We start from the raw sequence: 22,177 nt of genomic DNA, 5'->3' as shown, positions 1-22,177 counted from the left end.
AATTGTGAGGGTTGTCATTTCTGGTAATACTGTGAGATAAAGACTGTAATGGAAATCTAAGCCCAAAGGACAACAAATTTAATTTTCTCTGTTGTTTTTATAAGCCTTGAATGTAATAATAGTTTTAGTTAGGTTCCCCCACCCCCTTCCTCTAAGTTTTAAATAGACTACAAAGAGAGGAAAGCCTATTATTTGGTCATCTTAATGTGTCCAGTACTTTTGTTTATGCTAAATATTACAGTAGATGCCAAGAAGAACATCTGCTCTTAAAAATTGCCAACATTCCTAAGATTGTAGAGCAGTAAAGTACAGTAGAATTTTCACTCAACAGTGAACCACCCACACAGTTTTTTTCAAGCATATGTCTTATAATAAAAATTCTCAGAATATAATTGTTCATGAGAGCTTCTAAAATAAAACAAATTGACATTATATATTTGTGAATTACTGTGTTTTGAGATTCTACACCATAATTTCATAAATTAAACTCTTGTCCAAAATATTATCAGATTATATAGGAACAATATTTCAAACTCTTTCTCTAGCAAAAATTCCCATGGTAATTACATAAGTTTTAACAGTTCAGCCAAGTTTCTTTACTTTCTCATATCTCTTGAAAAATGGTGTAACTCTACTTGTATAGGTAGCTATATATGTAAAATGATAAGATGATTTTCCTCTTCTATCTCTGTCTTTTATATTTTCTAGAATGCTAGTGCATACAACTGAAAAGGAAGTAAAACTGAAAAGGAGTATGATTTCTGTATAAATGCTTTTTTTGAAGAGATAGTATTCGAAATAATTTTTAGAAAGATTTTTTTTAGCTTGATAAGTTTATTTAAATAGTCATGGGCAAAGACTTCATGACTAAAACACGAAAAGCAATGGCAACAAAAGCCAAAATTGACAAATCAGATCGAATTAAACTAAAGAGCTTCTGCGTAGCCAAAGAAACTATCATCAGAGTGAACAGGCAACCTACAGAATGGGAGAATATTTTTGCAATCTACCCATCTGACAAAGGGCTAATATCCGGAATCTACAAAGAATTTAAATTTACAAGAAAAAAAAACCTCCAAAAAGTGGGAGAAGGATATGAACAGACACCTCTCAAAAGAAGACATTTATGTGGCCAAAAAATATGGAAAAAAGCTCATCATCATTGGTCATTAGAGAAATGCAAATCAAAACCACAATGAGATACCATCTCATACCAGTTAGAATGGCAATCATTAAAAAGTTAGGAAACAACAGATGCTGGAGAGGATGTGGAGAAATAGGAATGCTTTTACACTGTTGGTGGGAGTGTAAATTTGTTCAACCATTGTGAAAGACAGTGTGGCGATTTCTCAAGGATCTAGAACCAGAAATACCATTTGACCCAGCAATCCCATTAGCGAGTATACACTCAAAGGATTATAAATCATTCTACTGTAAAGACACATGCACACATGTTTATAGCAGCGCTGTTCACAATAGCAAAGACTTGGAACCAACCCAAATGCCCCTCAATGATAAAGAAAATATTGCACATACACCATGGAATACTATGTGGCCATAAAAAAGGATGAGTTCATGTCCTTTGCAAGGACATGGATGAAGCTGGAAACCATAATTCTCAGCAAACTAACACAGGAACAGAATCCCAGCACTTCGGCAGGCCGAGTAAGGCGGGTTGCTTGAGCTCAGAAGTTTGAGACCAGCCTGGGAAACTTGATAAAACCCCATCTCTACAAAAGATACAAAAATTAGCAGGGCATGGTAGCATGCACCTGTAGTCCCAGCTAATTGGGAGGCTGAAGTGGAAGGATGGCTTGAGCCTGGGAGGTTGAGGCTGCAGTGAGCCGTGATTGTGCCACTGAGAGTCTTGCTCTGTCACCCAGGCCGAAGTTGTACTTCGGCCTGGGTGACAGAGCAAGACCCAGTTTCAAAAATAAATAAATAAAGAAGAAAGAAAAAAGAAAAGAAAACAGAAAAACAAATCAAAAGAACAACAAAAAATGTATAAAAGTCTATAGATCCCTAGGGGCACATGGTTCTGTCTTTTGTTCCGCTTACTATGACTCAAAGATAGTTCTTGGATTTCTAATCCAGCTATGTTTCTGTTTTTTTCCTAACAACAAGGTTGAATGCATAAAATATTCTTGAAAATATATTTTAAGATTTCAAACACAATTAGAATATTTGACTAAATGAAATCTCTCTTTCTCTTCTTAAGTTGATTGATGTCAATATTTATATTTATTTGTTTTCCTGGTCTTTAAACTACCCACACTAGTATTTCTTATAAATCAGTTATGAATAACTTTATTAGTCACTTTAGCATCAACTATTTATGAATAAGTAAGAGAGTATCTAGCATGAAAAGTCATAAAGTTATAATTTAAATGGTAAAATGTGTGCTTTGGTTTGCCATCTTGAATTAAAATGGCTGTTCGTAAAAGTTTTCAAATGGGCAATAACAGTTTTCTGTTATTGTTCACAAATTTTGGTAAAAATGAAAGTGGTGTGGTGGCTCATGCCTATAATCCCAGCACTATGGGAGGCCGAGGCAGGTGGATCATCCGAGGTCAGGAATTCGAGACCAGCCTGGCCAACATGATGAAACCTCATCTCTACTAAAAATACAAAATAAATTAGCCGGACATGGTGGCATGCTTCTGTAATCCCAGCTACTTGGGAGGCTGAGGCAGGAGAATTGCTTGAACCCAGGATGGGGAGGTTGCGCTGAGCCGAGATCACACCACTGCACTCCAGCCTGGGGTGACAGACAGAGACTCTGTCTAAAAAAAAAAAAAAAAAAAAAATGGAAAAGAAAAGAAAAGACAAGAGGATCAACCTTTCAAAAACACTACTTAAACTTCTCATAACTGTCAGCCAAGCATGCTATTGTGGGGTACTGGAATTCTCTGGTTATTGAACTAATCATGTTCTTAACGCATCTCGTTAGGAATAGCATCCAGCTGTGGCAAGAGAGAACATTAACTGTAACTTGAAGACTGAGTCCAAGGTGAGCATAAGAAGAAAGCTATAGGCATCTGTAGCAACATGGCTATAAAGTCCAGCCTCATTGAAGTCCAGATTGCCTCAGTTTCCAGGACTATGCTTCTTTAATACTGTCTGCCTGCAGTCTCCTCTCCCTTCAATCCCCTTCTCACACCTACCTTGTCTTGACATCAATCCTTACCTGTTTTCTGGCTCCTGACAACCTGCTTCAGAGTCCAGTTCTGTCTTTGACAGTGCTGCCTGGAATCTCTGCCCAACGCAGAAACCAAAACAACAATAATTGAGAAATTCCTACACTAATAAAAAAAACTTAGCCTGTTTTTGTGGAAAATTAGATTAACATTAAAGAGTACAAGCTTCAGAGAAAAACATATTTAAGCTAAATTCCTCTCTCAGTTATTGATTAGCACTGTAGTTGTCATCTGGAAAGTGGGGGCAATCATAGTAATCTTATAGGGTTATCATAATAAGTAAAGAAGGTAATTCATATAAAGTGTCCAGTGCTATACCTGCATAAGGAAGATAATAAAATATGTCTTATTTTATAACCATGTGCATGCCACAGGTCCTTTAACTAAGAGTCCATTTCACAACCAAAGGCAATAGGCAGTGCACAATTTCTTTTAAGACTATGTGCTTGGGGCCCTTCTTTAAGTTTTAACATCCCTTTATCATGAGATGTCTTCAACACATTCATACCTTTAACCAGGCAGTCAAAGGTCAAAGTCATTCTAGTACATATAATAAAAATGGACTCAGGACCCCTAGCACGCACTGCACACAGTGTGAAAGACTGTGGCTGACACAGTTCCAAGACTCTCTTAGAAGTAACTTCTCTGAACCATCTTTTCTTTCCTGGAGGGAGAGCCCCAGTTAGCTCCTCTGAACTGGCCTGCCCACTTCCCACATAAAAGATGCAATACATCAGAGTAAAAATTGTTGTAAAAACCCACATGAGTCATTCTCAGGAAGCCAGAACTATTTTAAAAGGAAGACTGATGTAGCATTTTAGAATATGGAGGTTTGGATCCTGGCTTTGGCGTTTCTAGCTATGTGACACCAGGCACATGACTTACTCTGTCTGTGCCTCAGCTTTCTACATTGCATAATGGGAAATAATATTGTTAGTGAGGATTAAACAAATTACCATTTGTGAACACTTAGAACGGTGTCTGGCATCTAGTGATCACTAGATGAATATTAACTATTATTATACTTCTGAGGCCAGCAGAAACAGTTTATTACGATTTTTTTTAGAAGACCTGACTCTCCACTTTCATTTCTTGTTTCCTGTAAGCTTTGAAAACATTAGGAAGTACATTGACTATCTGCAGAGGTAATGAGCCACTTGAAAAGTTCTCGGTGCTTTCCAAGGAGATTAATATTATGTGGTATTTCACTTGGAGCAATTACGTTGGAGGGAAGTTTTCTCATTTCAGGGCTTAAGAGCAGTATGTTCCCATATTTAACAAGGAAAGTGTTCAAAGCTGCTTTTGTGAACTGTTGGAAATCTGAAGTTTAGAGGGGAGAGTAGCTGTCGTTAAACTAAGTACGTCTGATCAGGGACCATTTTGGTGTGATCTTTTTGAGATCTTGTTAAATGAGCATCCAAAAAATATTTAATTTAGTTTAATTATTATCACCAAATCTAACAATTTTTTGCGAGTTTGTCAGCCATAAGTGACAGAGTTTGTTCTGTGGAGATGTTCTGACCTATAATAACAACAATGTCCCATTGTTGGAATCTACTGGACCTGCAATGTTGCATTTGGGGCTTAGGATCCCTTTAAAAATAGAAGAAAGCAGAATATAGTGAAACTCCATTTTTAGGTATTTATGGTAAGTAAATCTTAGGAGGGACTTGTTTCAAAATGGTCACCCTAAGTTTAATTAGTTTGCCACCAGCCACTCTTCTGGAGATCCTTGCTGAAGAACTCTCATCCATGTTGAAGCAAAATGATCCAACACAGGCCGGGTGCAGTGGTTCACGCCTGTAATCCCAGCACTTTGGGAGGCCGAGGTGGGCAGATCATGAGGTCAGGAGTTTGAGACCAGCCTGGCCAACATGGTGAAAGCCCATCTCCACTAAAAATACAAAAATTAGCCGGGCGTGGTGGCGGGCACCTGTAGTCCCAGCTACTTGGGAGGCTGAGACAGGAGAATGGCATGAACCTGGGAGGTGGAGCTTGCAGTGAGCCGAGATCACACCACTGCACTCCACCCTGAGCAACAGAGCGAGACTCCGTCTCAACAAAACAAAAACAAAAACAAAAAACGATCCAACACAAGCCTGGGCCACGACTGCCTTGTCCTTTGGCCAAGACTAATGGCATAGTAAGTTTTCTCCTATGTCACCTACATCAAAGGTCAGAATGTGTGAAGAAATTAAAAACTGCAGATATAATTTAAATATTCATTCCCCAAATTTTAAAGCTTGAACTTGGTGAAAAAAAACCATCTTATGTTCTATACATTATATAATGATGACCATACAATAAACAAGCATAATCTACAAACTATAGGGCAGATATTAATCACTGAATATCTAAACTTTCCAAATAAAATATATTAAAAAATATTAATGAGAAAACAGAGCTTTCCTACAGGAATGTTCTTTGTGAACTTTTTGTTGCAGTAAAACATACATGTAAAAAAGTATGCAAATTATAAGTGTATAGCTCTAAATTTTACAAAGTCAATTTTCCTATGTAACCACCACCCAGATCAAGATGTAGCAAGTTGTTTCCTGCTCTTCCTAGTCAGAACCCCCTCCCCAAATGCGGTGGACAGAGTTCTAAAGATGGTCCTCCAAGATTCTCATTCCCTGATTATCTTACCCAGCACTAATCTAGGCATTGTAGTGAAGAGAGCTTGCAGATGTCAGTTGACCTTAAGATAAGGAGATTATTTAGGAGAGTCTGTAGAGCATCGTCTCTGCTTGATGACAGAGAGAAGCCAGAGATTTGAAGTGAGAGGGGAATTCAAAGTATCTTTGCTGCTTTTGAAGATGGAGGTGGCCTTTAAGAACTGAGAGCTTATACGCAGCAAGCAACTGAATTTAGCCATTTACTTGAATGAGCTTGGGAAGTCTATTCTTCCCCAGAGCCTCCAGATAAGAGCTCAGCCTAGCCAACCCCTTGATTTAGGCCCTGTGAGACCCTCATTGGTGACCTCAGCTAAGACTGTGAAGACTTCTGACCTATAGTACTGTGAGCTCACAATGATTTAATCTCAGAAAGAAGTGAGGGACATATTATTAGAAACTGGAGGAAAGAGGATCCTTGTTAAGCAGAGGCAGGGAGTTTAGCAGAATTGATTCTTGCAGCTATGTGGAAAGCAGAACTTGTAAACAACAAGCTTGGATATTTAACAAAGATTTCCAAATATTGAAGATGTGGCCTAGTTTTTTCTTATAGCTTATAGTAAAATAAGAGAAGTGAGATATAATTTGAGAAAAGAATTACACAAAAGAGAACCAGAACTTGATGATTTGGAATATTCTTAATCTATCCAGGTGGTGAAAGAGGCTAAAATTCACAAATGACTGCCAAAAGCATGACATAGAGAAAAGGCTGAGAGTGTGGCTATACAACTTCTTGTGGAAATCTTTGAAAGATCAAAGATTATTCAGTTGCACGAGATTAAGGGTGCAGCTCACAGATTTCAAGTTTAAGAGTCTTGAATGGTGTGATCCCTTGGCCATCTCAGCAGAAGCCAAATATAGAGAAGGGATTAGCTCAGAAAGATCTGTTGGTGAGACTTTAGTCTAATGGAGTGAACCCTCATGAAATTCATGCAAAATCCACAAGATTCTAGAGAAAATGATGTTGGCAGACACACTGCAAGCTAGACTGAAAGGAACAGAAAGTGTATAAAATAAAAGATGACTGTCAAGCCCCATAAACCTACTTATCTGCAAACACAAGCTACATTTCATGCATAAAGGAAAGATGAATCAGAGGGTGGAACCAAGAGCTAGGAGAGCAGAGCCTGGAGCCCACAGGCTGGGGATGGGGACTCAGTGTGAAGCCCGCAGCCCGGAGGACAGAGCTAAGAGACATAGGGGATTATTCAAGGCCTTCAATCTGGTAGCCACTGCCTGGATGCTGGTTTTTAAACCTGTTTCGCACTCATGACTTCTTTTTATTTTCCATTTCTTCCTATATATTCATCTGTCAAACATTACCAGTCTCAATTACTGTAGCTTATGGTCAATCTTGATATCTGGTAGATTGTCAGTCCTCCAACTTTGTTCTTCCTTCTATAGAATTGTCTAAGCTGTTCTCAGTCTTTTGCATTTCTGTTTAAATTTTAGAATTAGTTTGTCAATTTCCATGAAAAAAATTGCAAGATTTTGATTGGGATTTCATTGAATTTATGTGTATAGTTGAGGAGAAGTGACACCTTAACAATACTGAATCTTCCAATCCATAAACTTGGTATATTTCCTGATATATTCAGATTTTCTTTAACTTTCCTCAGTGAGGTTTGTAGCTTTCAGTTTAGAGTTCTTGTATAGATTTTGCTCAATTGATCTCTAAATATTTAAAGGTTTTGATGCTACTGAAAATAATGTTGTTTTTAAAAATTTTAGTTTCTAATTGTTCATTGCTAGTATATAGAAATTAATTTTTAAATGTTGATTTTGTGACTTGTGAAAGTTATTTAGTAATTATAATAATTTGTTGGAGACCCTTTGGATTTTTAGTGTACAAAATATCTGTAAATAATAATAGATTTTCTTCTTCCTTTTCAATTATTATTTGTTTATTTCTTTTTATTGCCTTAGTAGTTTGGCTAGGATTTCTGGTAGAATGTTATATAGTAATGGTGAGAATGGACATCTTTATAGATGGAAAGCATTTATATTTCAACATAGTACAATGTTAAATGTACATATATATTATATACACATATGTTATAGATTATTTATCATTGACATTCTTACCAAATTTAGAAAGTTTCTTTCTATTTGTAGTTTGTTCAGAGAATTTTATTATGAGTGGGGTTTATTTATCAAGTATATTCTCTGTATCTATTAAGTTGATTATATGCTTTTTCCTCCTTATTCTATTAAATTTAATATAAATAATGTCAACAAAAATCCTTTGCTTTTAAAATGTTAATCCAGTCTTGAATCCTTGGAATAAACTCCATCTATTGTTATGGATTGTGTTATTCAAAGAACTTGTCCATTTTCATAAAATTATTGAATTTATTGACAAATTTCTTCATAATATCCCCTTATCAGCTTTTTAATGTCTGTGGGATCTATAGCCAAGTCCCTATTTTCATTTCTGCTATTAGAAATTATATTTTCTCTCTTTTTTCTTTGACCAATCTTGCCAGGGTTTATTAGGTTTTTCAAGAAACTCATCTTTGGCGTTGCTTTTTTTTCCTTTTATATGTTAATTCTCTATTTTATTTATTTTGGCTCTTATGATATTATTTCTTTTCATTTAATATTCTGTTCTTTTATTAGCTTATTGTGAAGAATACTTAGTTCATTAATTTTAATACTTTTTTTGTTTTGAGATGGAGTCACGCTCTGTGGCTCAAACTGGAGTGCAATGGTGTGATCTTGGCTCACTGCAACCTCCGCCTTCTGGGTTCAAGTGATTCTCTTCCCTCAGCCTCCCGAGTAGCTGGTATTTCAGGTACATGCCACCACACCCGGCTAATTTTTAATACTTTTATTTTTTTCTATTCATTTAGCCTATAAACATCTTTTCAAGTATAACTTTAGCTGCATTTTACAATAGTATTTTAATTTGCATTTAGTTCAAAATAGTTTCTACTTTCTATTTTAATATTTCTTTGATTGTGAGTTATGTAGAAATATATTGCTTGATATCCAAAAACACGGTTTAGTTGTCACTTTGAAACTCTCTAATTTTATTTATGCTCTGTTATATTTTTGACAACTGTTTCAATATTTGTTACATAAATATCTTAAATATTATACTATTGACAAAAAGAATCAGCACTCAAAGTCATTAGTCTATATTTTGTTCATGATGCGTTCATTCCACATTTATTGAGCATGTGCTAGATACAAGTACTGTGCATGCTAGTGACTACGTGAGGGATTCAAAGGAAATGTATGGACCCTGCCCTTGCCCTAGAGGAACTCACAACCTACTGAAGTGACAATCCCAGGAAAGGCAGTGTTCATTGGTTCTCGTTAGCTTTGTTCTTTTCCACTATAGCCACCAAATTAAAACGTTAATGATAAAACCTCACAAGCTTTGAGTGAAGTGAAAATTCTCATGTACAACTAAATGTTGAGTGCCTTATGGTTGGTCTATAATTCTCACAGATAATACCGTAGAAGGGATAAGCTTAAACGTGCAAGAATTTTTTTTTCTGTAACTGAAACTTATTTGTATTTGAAGCCCCCATTTAGCTGCAGTGACAAAAATCTTATCAATGGGAGGCCTCTCCATCAGAAAGTCAGAAACACTGACTGAAGCAGAGTCATCAGTGGGCTGCAGATTCTCCAAGGCTCCTCTGCACAGCCTCTGCCCTGGAAGTAGTGGGAGGGCATTCCCAAACAGTCTCTCCTTCCCCTGGAGTGGGGAAGGAGGGTACATGAGTCTCATTCTAATTCCTCCTCTCTTAGTCTTGATTTTGTTTTTCTTTTTTGCCTTAGATGACGACACTCCTTCTAGCCCAGGATTTTTGCTTCAGAGGCACCTGCCACAACTCATTTTTGCAGATGAAGAGTTTGAGGCTTCAGGTTAGGTGACTGGTTTTTGAAAACCACAGGGAGAAGGAGCACAGCAAGAACGTGGCCCATAGTAAATGTCTAACAAACATTTAGCTGTCAGTCCCAGTGCTCCCCAGCTGGTGTTATTTTTCTTATGTGAGCAGGTTAATTCAGAGTATTATTTCAGGGAACAAATACTTGAATACCTGTATGTCCAAGGTGCCAGGGTTACAGGGAATTAGCTAGATAAAGTCTCTGGCCTTACTGGGCTTCCATTACATAGAAGGGCAAGTAAGAGACAATAGATTAAAAAAAAAAAAAAAGAAAGAAAAGAGAAAAACAAGGTAATTTCAACCACAACTGGTGCCATATTTAAGGTAACCTATGTCATCCTCCATGCCAGAACACTTTCCCTCTAGGGTGCCCCAGGACTCTCTTTGGCCTCTGCCATTGGACATCACAGGAAGCAACTATGGTAGCTGGCTCTTCCCTCTCTTCTTGCAAAACCTGACATGCCATTTATTTCTTTGTCTGACATACCTTTCTTTTCTCTTGTCCTGGAACCATTTACCAGGCACAGGCTCCAGCACCCCACCCAGCAGCCTCTAATTACTTTCTGTTATCAATTTCCTACTTGATTTCTGATGTTGAAAGAACATACTATATAATTTTCATTTTTAGAAATGTGGTTTGTTTTATGGCCAGCATATGGCTTATTTTGGTAAATATTCCTTGTAAACTTGAGAAGAATGTGTATTTTGAAGTAGTTAGGTATTTTTTATGTATAATGTATAACAGTGAGGGTGCTTTTGTACTTAGTGGTGTTCAAATATTTGCAAATACCTCCACTGATTATTTTTCTTCTATCATTTTCTTTTTTTTTTTTTTTTTTGAGATGGAGTCTCACTCTGTCGCCCAGGCTGGAGTGCAGTAGCGCAATCTTGGCTCACTGCAACCTCTGTCTCCTAGGTTCAAGTGATTCTCCTGCCTCAGTCTCCTGGGTAGCTGTTATTACAGGCGCGTGCCGCCAAGCTCAGCTAATTTTTGAATTTTTAATAGAGATGAGATTTCACCATGTTGGCCAGGCTGGTCTTGAACTCCTGACCTCAAGTGATCCACCCACCTCGGCCTCCCAAAGTGCTGCAATTACAGGCATGAGCCACCACCCTTGGCCTCCTCTATCATTTTCTAAGTTGAGTTAAATCCAAATATTTTCTTGGATTTTCATATTTCTCCTCTTAGTTTTTCCAATTTTGGCTCTATTTTTAGTGCATGTTATTAAGAGCATACACACATAGAACTGCCATACCTTTCTGTTGAATTATTAGTCTACTGTATCTGGTATCAGTTTGCTATATCACATTTCTTTTACTGAGTTTTATGTGAAGTGTGTGTGTGTATAATATTCTTTTAATGTTTCCTGTGTCCTCATTTTAAAAGCGTGTCTCTTGTAAGATAACCAAACTATAGATATACACACACACACACACACACACACACACACACACGATTTTCTTGGTATTTTTTCCACTTAATAAATAAAAGGAAAAGTTTCTTGAGGAAGGCACTCTACTGAATTTTTTTTTTTTTGAGATGGAATGTTGCTCTGTCGCCCAGGCTGGAGTGCAGTGGCACAATCTTGGCTCACTACAAGCTCCATCTCCCGGGTTCATGCCATTCTCCTGCCTCAGCCTCCCAAGTAGCTGGGACTACAGGTGCCAGCCACCATGCCCAGCTAATTTTTTGTATTTTTAGTAGAGACGAGGTTTCACTGTGTTAGCCAGGATGGTCTCGATCTCCTGACCTCGTGATCCGCCTGCCTCGGCCTCCCAAAGTGCTGGGATTACGCGTGTGAGCCACCACTCCCGGCCCACTCTACTGATTTTTAAAATAATCCATGTGGCTTCCTATCACCTACTTAACTGCCCTGTACTCTTAGCCACCATGCTGACCCTGCCAGTTTGGGAAGTGTAGGTGGGACAGGAAGGGCTGGGGAAGAATCTGAAGATGGAAATGGAAAAAAAGATAACAGGTGAAGAGAGGATGGAAGGAAAGGGTGCCATTAGGTTTTTAAAAGAATTTTTACCTCTACACTCTCTCCTGTCCTTTTGCAACTTCAGTTACATGTATTTGGCCTTTTTGTGAATTCTTTACATTTCTTACCCTCTCCATTATTTTTCCATCTTTTTTGTTTCACACTCCCTCTCGGTTTGTTCTTCTGAACTGTTTTGTAGTTCACTAATTTTCTCTTCTGTTATGTGTAATTTATTATTAAGCCCATTCATTGGATTCTTAATTTTATTACTGTATTTCCAGTTTTCTCCAAAGCCATATCATCTTCCAAAGTACAGATCTTCTCCTTCTTTACTTTAGGCTTTTCTTGATGTTGATTTTCATGTAGCTCACCCAAGGGACATTCATAGCAATAGCATAGACCTTAAAAGACAATACATAACCAATACTTAACAGAAAAATATTTTATATCTCAATTCTGTAGGGGTTTCTTTTCTTAATTAAGAAGATGACTATGCCTAAATGGTGTCAGAATATCAGAGCAGGTTGTCCAATTTGGTCAAATTTACTTAGGAACAAAAAAAGAAAAACGTCAAAGGATTTAAGCTTTTCTGTTTAGTGAATATTAATACTTTCTAAGTCTTCTGTAGCTATCACATTATTTTCTCCTTGGGCATAGATAGATACTAATTGCTTTATTTGTACAAAGTTTCATTTTCTAACTTTTACAAGAAATGCTTCTACTCTGAGTCCTCCCACCGTCCAAAGGCCTGAAAGTTCAAGCAGATGTTGATTCTCTGGTATTAATGACCTCTTTAAAGGTGTGTGTCTGACTGAAGCTGGGCCAAGCAGAGCTCTTTCCTGGGATTTTATAATTTTGGATTGGAGAGATAGGCTACAGGCTCCCTTTGATAATAGATATTGGAAACTCTGGCACTGATGGATGGAAATGCGCCCTATCCTGAAGAAGAAGCTAGTTCTTAGCAGATGCTAATGAAACCAAGAAACAGAAACAGAAGAGTCACTTGAGGGCTCTCCATCAGCCCTTTGGTTATCAGAGTTAAAAAATTCCTCTTTGCCTAATTCGGATTTTTGTCAGACGCAGCCAAAAGAGTTCTGACTAAGGTGTCCTCTTTGTATTGCTGAGGTCTGAAAATTACGGGGTGGATTTTATAGTTTGATCACTATGGCTTAATCCAAAGGTATTTACAAATTTCAAAGGCATTTTTAAATTTCATATCTATTCCTACAATAGAAGCAGCTTGGTATATTGAGGGAATACCATTGACGAGGTTTGAAGACCCAGAAAACTACTTTTTCTCTCAGAACCTCCAATTTCTCACCTATGAAATGGGGATGAATACTTTCCTATGACACAATGTGTGGCAAGGATTAATTGAATTAATACAACTGAAGAAATCCTGAAAGAAAAGCAAGGCGAATATTATCTCAATTTGTGTGAAGAGAAAACTCAGCTTCAGAGAATTCAGTCAATCAAATGTCCACAGTACTGTGCACATTGTCGGCACCGGCCTTAGTTGTACATTATGAGCATCTCTATGAGTTCCCTAAGCCATGGTAGACACTTGGCTCCTGTGAAGAGGCACAGGAGGGAAGTGAGAGAGAAGTTAACATCCTCTGAGGCAAACGTCAAGCCTCCTAGTCCTTCAGGAAGATAAATCTAAGGCATGTACCACACGGTTTCTCAGAGGGTCCCCACCAAGATTTGAACCCCAGTGGTCCTAAGTGGTAACTGACTAAATAAGGCACACTTTATTGCCTTTCCATATGTCACTCTCCCTACTCTCTTCTGCTTCCCACATTTTTCTCTCAAATAAACTACTTTCACTCAAAATGACATTGTCTCAGCCTCTGCTTTCAGGGGATGCCAGAATAAGATATAATTATGCAAATCAACAAAAATGAGAAAAAGCATTGACAACACTCATATTTATCAATCTTGAGTACTCATTGGTCTCAAAAATAAGACTGAACCCCCAGGAAACTTAGGATTTTATTTGCATAAGCCACAGTAATTAAGAAATTCAATTTGGTTTTGAAGTGGAGATTGACATACAGAAACACAACCCCATACACACATTCTCACACAGTCTGTGGGAAGTGTTTCCAGAGCAGTCTTGTTTGTGGTATTTGTTGTGTGGTCCTAGTGGGGAAGAAGTAAAGAGTGTTTGTTCACCTCAGACAAATTTATAAACTAACTGAATAGATGGCTGACCAAGAGATGGACTTTGTTTACAAGTCTGTTTATAAGTAGAATGATGTTCTAACTTTTATTAAATAACAGACAGTTAAGCAGCAGTAAAAATAAGTATACCAGAATTAAACAAAGAAAGAGGTTCACATCTCACCTTAAAATGGTCAGCTCTTTTCCCCCTAAACCTCAAAAAATCCTCTGTCTCCTCTCACCATCTTGTTTTAGAGTTGACTACCAACTATTGCAGGAAATTGAACTGTTTTTGACCTACGTTTGTGATGAGTCTGGCATAATGTAATTCTGATTGTGCTGTCAAAGAAAACCACATATTTCCCCCCCCACAAAAAAAAATTATGTGTAATGCAAACGTGATTATCATTGTTGGTGTGGAAGGGTACAATTAAAATTATGAATGAATATTTTTCCCTTTACATTTGCTTTTCCTCTTTGACCTTTCCTCCTTTCAAGCAGCTGGGCAGTTTCATGGAGAAAACACAGAGCAGAAAGTAGAAAAAAAATAAACAAGTCTTTTTCTGAATGTTGCTCCTTTGAGAACTACGTTTAAGTCTATTTACAAATAAAATGATTTTCTAATTTTTATTAAGTAATAGCAAACAGTGAAATACTATGAAGGATAGTTATAATAGAATTAAACATGGGAGGAAGTCCAGAGCTGGTTGTAAAGAAGCCAACTGTATTTTTTTCCCACTAAGTCCCAAATTAAATGTAACATATCCACTTGCCTTCCTTAGAGAAACAAAAATTACTCATAATTTTGATGAAAGATGTAGAAGAAAATACTGTATGAGAAAGAACAACCCTCCTACCCCACATACCCTGGAGAGAAGGTTTGTTGGGCCTGTGAGATGAAAAAGAGTCAGGAGAAGTGTTAAGAATGTGGATATCAGTAGTTCAGGGTGGAAAGTCCTTTATCTTACTTCCATGATAGATACCTCCCCAGCCCAGAGGCAGGAAAACCAAAGCAAACCCAACCCAGATAGCCTGGGGTTGGGGGTACATCCCAAAAAAGAAAAGACACTCTCTCCTTTCCTAGTTAAGAATCTGAGCAATGGCAAGACCCCCCAAAACTGAATTGGCTGAGTGGTATATCTAAGCACACGAGACCTTAAAACAGACCAGCTAGGATTTCCATACTCTGTGGCAAGAAAAATGAACAATTCCTTTGCTCCGAACAGGAACACGGAAGTCATGGAGGTTGTTGCTGGACCTGAGGGGTCTTGTGACAGAAACCAAGCAAAGCTAGTGCAATACAAGAACCAATGACTGAGGCCCAAGGGCCTACTGGATATCTCTGTGGATTCCAGGGTTCATAGCTGCTGACAACAAGGCCACATCCCCTTCTGTGCCCCCAATACCTTGGCACTACGTAAGGTCCCTGGAGCTTATATACAACTCAGAGGAAAAATGGAGGGGCCACTAAGTTGGCTAACATGAAGTTTTTACCTCCCTGGAAAAGTTAGGACACAAAGTAGAAATTATGTTTAATTATAGAAAATAAGGGTTTTTTTTTATACTTGAATATGCATGAACACATGAGGCACACACTAATCATAATTTTGTTTTTAATAGAAATTTTGCTTTGTTAAATTCCGTATTTATTCTTCCTACTAAACTTAAAAGCAAAAAAACAAGCTCCTTACAAAGAACATTAATGTGACTTTTTAATTCTATTTAACAATTGTCAAATAAAAATAAACTTATGTTGAAGGTTTAAAAGAAAATGATGTCTGCTTGCCTTTCTTTGACTTTTGCCTCTGCTATGCTGTAATCATGAAAGTTCTGTTCTGTACACTTAGGCCTAAAACTCACTTATTATCTCCATGTTACTAAAAGCTTTTGGTTTGATTGTTTAGTGTCACGATGTAGAAAGATGGTTGCATTTTGCCTGACTCTCATGTACCATTTGACAGCCTCCTACTCAGAGAGGATTGGCAGACTGGGCTCAGTAGTTATTGTGCTGTACAAAGGGAATTATTACAAAGAAATATTCATACAACAGGAAAGGAAAAATGAAACTCACAGATTTTAGCACAACATGAATTGATTTACTTCAGACAATGAATATCTTCATGTTAAGGTTATGTAATTAAAATCTTTCTCTTTAAATTCTTTCAAATGTTCTTTAAAGAAGTGAATTTTCTTTCATTAGGAAAATTAGAAGAATCTCTGTACTCCCACATCTCTGTATGTATAACTACTACTTAAATTATGATAATTATGCCTAAGAAATGTCAGCCCTAATTTATCCCCATATGGGCCACCCCTCCTACCTCCATTTCCATGCATACATTCATTTTGTAAATTGCTTTTTTAGGTTTTCTAATGTAAATCAATGGCATTGAAGTCCAAAATTAATGGCTTCCCTGTATTCATCCCCTTTGCAAAGTGACCTTGCATATTCTTCCATCAAGAGGTAAGTCTATTGCCTGACTCCCCTAATCTGGGCTAAGCCTTGTGCCTTGTTTTGGTCAGTAGAATGTGATAGAAGTGCTAAGATGCCACTTTTGAGCTTAGGCTTTAGGCAGTCATGAATGCTTCTGCTTTTTCTCTTGAAACCATGCCACTGCCATGTGAATAAGCCTAGGCCAACTTGTGAAGGATAAGAGACTATGTGGAAGAAAGCCCTATTATTCCATGTAGAAGCCAGCCTAGAGTTAGATGATCCTTAAATGTGTGAGACAGTCCACCCAAGACCAGAAGAGCTGTCTTCTAGAGCCACGGCTCATTCGGATGCATGAATGGATCTAACAAGAATCCAAGAATTACCCTGATGACTCCTAATATGTGCTTTTGTTTGAAGCCATTTAGTATTGGGGCTTGTTTGTTATGCAGCAGAGCTAACTAATGCATTTAATAATTAGTATTTTCTTCAAACATTTCATTATACCCTAGGATTTCTTAAAAGCCCTTGGATATTTGGACACAGATGTATAATTTGTGTAATATTTTATAACATTGCATTGAGATTTTTCATGTGGACTGGGTGTGTGGGGTATTTCTTTCAGTATTTATTTAGGTTGTATTTATGTGGCATTTGTATTAGTCATCTTGGGATGCCATAATAAAATATTATAGGCTATTTGGGTAGTCATAGGTTGGCTTAAATAAAAAATACTTACTTCTCAGAATTCTGAAGTTTGGGAAGTACATGATCAAGGTACAGGCCGGTTTGGTTCCTGGGGAGGGCTCTCCTCCTGGCTTGCTGACAGCTGCCTTCTCACTATGTCCTCTTCATGTGGTGGAGAGAGAGAGGGAGAGAGGGAGAGGGAGAGAGAGAGAGGGAGGGAGAGAGGGAGAGAAGGAGAGAGGGAAGGAGAGAGAGAGCTCTCTGATATCTCTTCTTATAAGGACACTAACTCTACCAGATTAGGATCCCAACTTTATGACTGCATTTAACCTTAATTACCTTCTTAATCTGAATGCATTCACGTTAAAGATGAGAAATTCAACATATACATTTATACTTTTAGGGGGACACAATTCTGTCCATAACAGCATCTGAAGAGGTCATATGGTTCATTCTCAGAGTATGAGGTATCTATATCTAGATTTTCCTAACAAAGGGAATCAAAAACCTTATTTAAAATATTTCTGGGACTGGCGATTCAACCACCATCCTGGTAATAATATAGTTCCCTTATAATCAGTAAGTGCTTGCTTATATCTACTTATAAAAGTTCAATTTCTTGAAATTGAACACTTTCAATACAATTTCATACTTATATTCTCTTCTGTACAGTTAGGGAATAAGTGATTGGTATATTATTAAACTTTTATTGCTTAAAGGCAGAATGGTCATAGCATTATTTTCTCTCCTCATTGTGTTTATTGATATAGTTTATGATTATGATTTTTCAGGACTATATCTAAAACTGCCAGTAATACCAATTAAGGTATCCTAAGATTGTTTCTTTTAGACAGCATTTGAAAGTTTCTTAAATTTGTTAACTGATTACATAAAGCACACTGTTCCATTGCACCCACAAGGATAATATTCAGGACTACCTAAACATGTTTCTCCACAGGAGGAAAAGGCACACACAAGGCACTCATTTTAAGATAACCAAAATATATTAATTTTTTAGTTGATGTAACTAATGTTTATATTAGTATGGATGCTGATCTGTCTCATTCATCTTTGTATATGGCTTTAGTCACTTTCTACTGAGTACATTGTACTGATTTCTGCCAGCTTATTTTTCTGTTATCCTTGAATCAATGAAGTTGATTCACTTATTCAATGTATTATATACTATTTTAAGTTCTGGGAAACCAAATCTGGGTAACCAAATGAAGAACAGCCACTATTCCTAGGAATCTTACTGTCTACTGGGGAAGAAGGCAGCACACAAATGAATATAAAATATACTGTCTGGTAGTATCACAACGTGTTATGAGGAAAAATAAATCAAGATAAGTGAATGGAAAGCGGAGGGGGACCATTTTAGACAAAGGGGTCAGGGATAGTATCTCTAAGGATATGAGATTTGAGTGGACATCTAACCAAAGTTAGGGAACAAGTCATACATGTATCTGGTGGAAGAAAATTCCAGGTGGAAGAAACAGCAAATGTCAAGGCCTGAAACAGTGACAACTTTGTTTTAAAATGTGTAGCTCAAATAGTATTTTCTGTTCCTTCAATCATTCTACTTAAGGTTTTTGTTTTGTTTTATTTGGAAGTAAGATTTCAAAATATAGCAAGAGAAAGCTTTATTTAAAGAGACTCAAGAATGTTCTCCCTGGAGATTTCTAAGATTAGGTTGCTTAAATATTTGAAATAATTTTTATGGCTTTGCCAAACCCATCATATTGTCCCAGCTGATGTTAAATTGGGATTTGTAAGCCTCTTGGTCATTCTCTGCCTCTATGCCTATCATTAATTTATTAAGAGTATTTATTGGCACATAAAACACGTCAGGGACTGTATTAAAGGCTGAAGATATCTGATTGACAGGTAAACCATGGTCCTTGCTGCTATAAAATTGCTTATTCCTACTAGAGATCAGCTGTAATAATTATAAAGATATAAGTTCTGGACTTAGACTTCAAGTGTCTGGTGCTGCCATTTACTAAATTTAGATGTTATACAATTTATGCTTCTTTATGCTTCAAATTTCCAGTTTGCAAAATGGGGATTCATTTACTCCACAAAGATTTAGTGGTACATTACTAGGTGCCAGACACTGTTATAGGTGCTAGACACTGTTATAGGTGCTTTGGGATACAATAGTCAACAAAACAGACAAAATTAACATAATACCTAATGAGAATGTTTTAAGACTTACCTAAGATGATATCTATAGTTCCCAGAATACAGTAACTACTAGATAAATGCTAGATACACACTTCTTATATTTGCAAAACTAGTGCTGGTAAATATAAAGCCCTGATAAAGGAGGGTTGAATTGAATTTTGTTATTTTATGGAGCAGGATACAACCTGTGTTACAGATTGAAAATACAAAGATGGTGATAAATTTATAGATATTAAAGTGAAAATAGATTAATGAAGGGAAAAACGTCTGAATGTGTGAGGTCTGTTCCTAACTTTTGGAGTTGACATTGAGCAGCGGCCACGGCATTTCTCTTCAGTTCTGTGGCAAAACTGCAAGTTGCCTTCCCAGTATTCATAGCCTCCCTTCCCTTTTTTTTTTGTTGTTTATTTTGCACAGGTTGTCATACTTTGTCTAAAACAAAAGGATTATACTGCCCAGCATTCTTCACTGTCAGGATGGCCAATGGGATGAAATGAGAATTTACTTGGTGAGATTCCTAAAAATGGAATTTAAAAGAGGAAGGAACTCAGCTTGCATATGCCTTTCACCCTTCAGTGTTCACCTCTTCCCTGCTCTAGGACACGAACACAATGCAGGTTGTAAAGCAGCCATGTTATGAGAATGAGCTAACAAGCAAAAGCAAACATGAGGACAATGAAATAGAAGACTGGAATGAGCCTCGTTCCCCAATGGCATCGTAGAGTTGCTAAATTAGCCCTAGATTTCCTGATCAGAACCTCTTGTTATGTATGCAAAAGATACCCAAATTTGTTTAAGCCACTGTTACATTTTTTGGGAGGTGAGGGGTAGTTTCTGTTATTCATAGCTGAATGCATCCTTCAACCAATATAAAGTTTTTGGATATCACTGTCTACCAAATGTTTTCATGGACCATCAGTGGTGACTCTTGCATTTTTAGGTGTCTAGGTGATTGCCCACATTACAAGCCCTGGTTTACCAACCAATAAAATGTGTGGCGGTTCAACCTCATAATTCAGTCCTGTCACGCCTTATAGACCTTTTCCCCATCAATTTTATGTATCTCATCCTAAATTAACTTGAAGACACAGGTGTAAGATAAATATGAGGGGCTGGCGAAATCTCTTCTTGTAGAGTGTGGAAAAACTTCTCCTAAGGAATGCTCAGTATATTGACGGATGCTCAGTGGTGCCCCAGGGATACACAGAGTTGAAGTTTCTGATGTCATTCACCTCAAAACCAGCTTTCTGCCACTGCTTTAGTGGCATCTGTGTGTCATTTAAATGTAGAATTGCGGCTTTTTCACACCTGCTTTTCCCATTTTCAAGAAGTCTTGGTTATAAAACTAGAGAATCAGCTGGCCCTTCCATATGTAAGTGAAAGTTTTCATCTTTTACTAATTAGAAGATAACCTAGATTCATTACTTTTTTATTCATCTTTCTTTTTAGTTATTAAAAATTGATCTTTTTATTTATAGCTGCATGAAAAATTCTTTTGCAGTTTCTTCAAAGGTTTTCTCTCCCCCATTTCTTTATCTTTCTTTCATTCCTAAAATGTAACTTGAGATGTGCACGTGGAAAAATCTGTTTGGTTGGAAATAAAATGTGGAAGGGAAAAACCAGCTATCAATGGCACAGCCATATTTTATATTTGGACTCTACCAAGCCATCATAGATCAGGAATATACCACTTCATTTAAATTGGCTTTTTGTCTACAGGTACCATACTTAAGTATCCATCACCTCTGGAGAGGTTGTCAGAAATGAGGCTGCATCATAAATTGTCCTAATGGCTCTTAGGTCCTGTGCCTCAGTGTGCTAGCCAGCCTTGGCCCCTTTGATTTCTGTGTCAGAGTAGCATCCCTTAGGCATTTCTTATTACTTGCAGGGCTGAAGTCAGCACTTTCCTAGAGTGGGGAGCTCAGGCTTCTTTCCTGGGAGTTGCATGAAAAACTTAAATAGTTATGGCTGAGAATTTGTGCATGCTACATTTCTCCAGGTCAGCTGAAAATTAGCAATGAGCCCTGAAATTTCTCTTCAGACTAATCAGTAAGGTATTTTTTTTCCAGAGCTGAATGCATATGTACACTATGAATGTCTGACTTATCCTATCCTATTTATTCATGGGTGTCTATTTAAGAAGTATGTTTTAGTAGAAATGTCATGGTTTTGGAGACAAAAGACTCTGAGCCCTGCCAGTACTTGACAAATGTAACTTCAAACAAGTAGCCTAAGTTCCAGGAGCCTGTTCTTCGTCTGTGGATGGAGTTAACAAGGCCTGTCCTATCTTACCTCATATGATTGTTGTGAGGCTTCACAGTGAGGCAATGTGTGGGGGTGATTTGTACACTATAAAGCACTGTAAACACGTATTTATAAGATCTCTCCACTGTACCAGATCTTATCACTTCTCTTCATAGGCATGGCTCATGGATTGGAAGTAACTTTACTTCCATGCCAAGTCCCTGTAAATACTATCCATCCCTACCAAGGTAAATCTCAACCCAAACTTGACCGCTTTGCTAGGTTCAAACCCAGACTTCTTTGTTCACTAATTATGGAATCTTGTATTATTTACTCAACCTTACCATGACTGTCACATAATCTAGAGCTGGGATATTGATTGTACCCACACTTAAGGCTGATTTAAGGATTACATGAGATGAGCTCTATAAAGTAGTTATTATGGTGCCTGATATACAGTAAATAATGAATGGTAGGTATTATTAATGTATTAGTGTAGGTACAAGTAGATTATGGGATTCTAAGAAGATGGTTGCTAACATCTTTTTTCTTCTTTTTTATTTTTTAAAATTAATTTTTTATTTCAATAGGTTTTTGGGGAACAAGTGGTGTTTGATTACATTAATAAGTTCTTCAGTCATGATTTCTGAGATTTTGGTGCACCATCACCCAAGCAGTGTGCACTGTACCCAATGTGTAGTCTTTTGTCCCTCAT

General features: G+C 37.3%; 1 long non-coding RNA gene across 1 annotated transcript; it reads left to right on the top strand.

The window, feature by feature from the left end:
* The first annotated feature begins 8,546 nt into the window (after positions 1–8,546).
* LOC107985093 (uncharacterized) lies at positions 8,547–20,667 on the top strand. Its single transcript, XR_001738163.2, has 3 exons — positions 8,547–8,663; positions 16,279–16,377; positions 19,636–20,667. It is a non-coding gene; the product is annotated as an uncharacterized LOC107985093 (long non-coding RNA).
* Positions 20,668–22,177: the final 1,510 nt, after the last annotated feature.

The sequence above is a fragment of the Homo sapiens genome, chromosome 1 (assembly GCF_000001405.40).
Source record: "Homo sapiens chromosome 1, GRCh38.p14 Primary Assembly".
In the NCBI taxonomy this organism is placed as follows: domain Eukaryota; kingdom Metazoa; phylum Chordata; class Mammalia; order Primates; family Hominidae; genus Homo; species Homo sapiens.
This window is presented reverse-complemented; position numbering and strand designations above follow the sequence as displayed.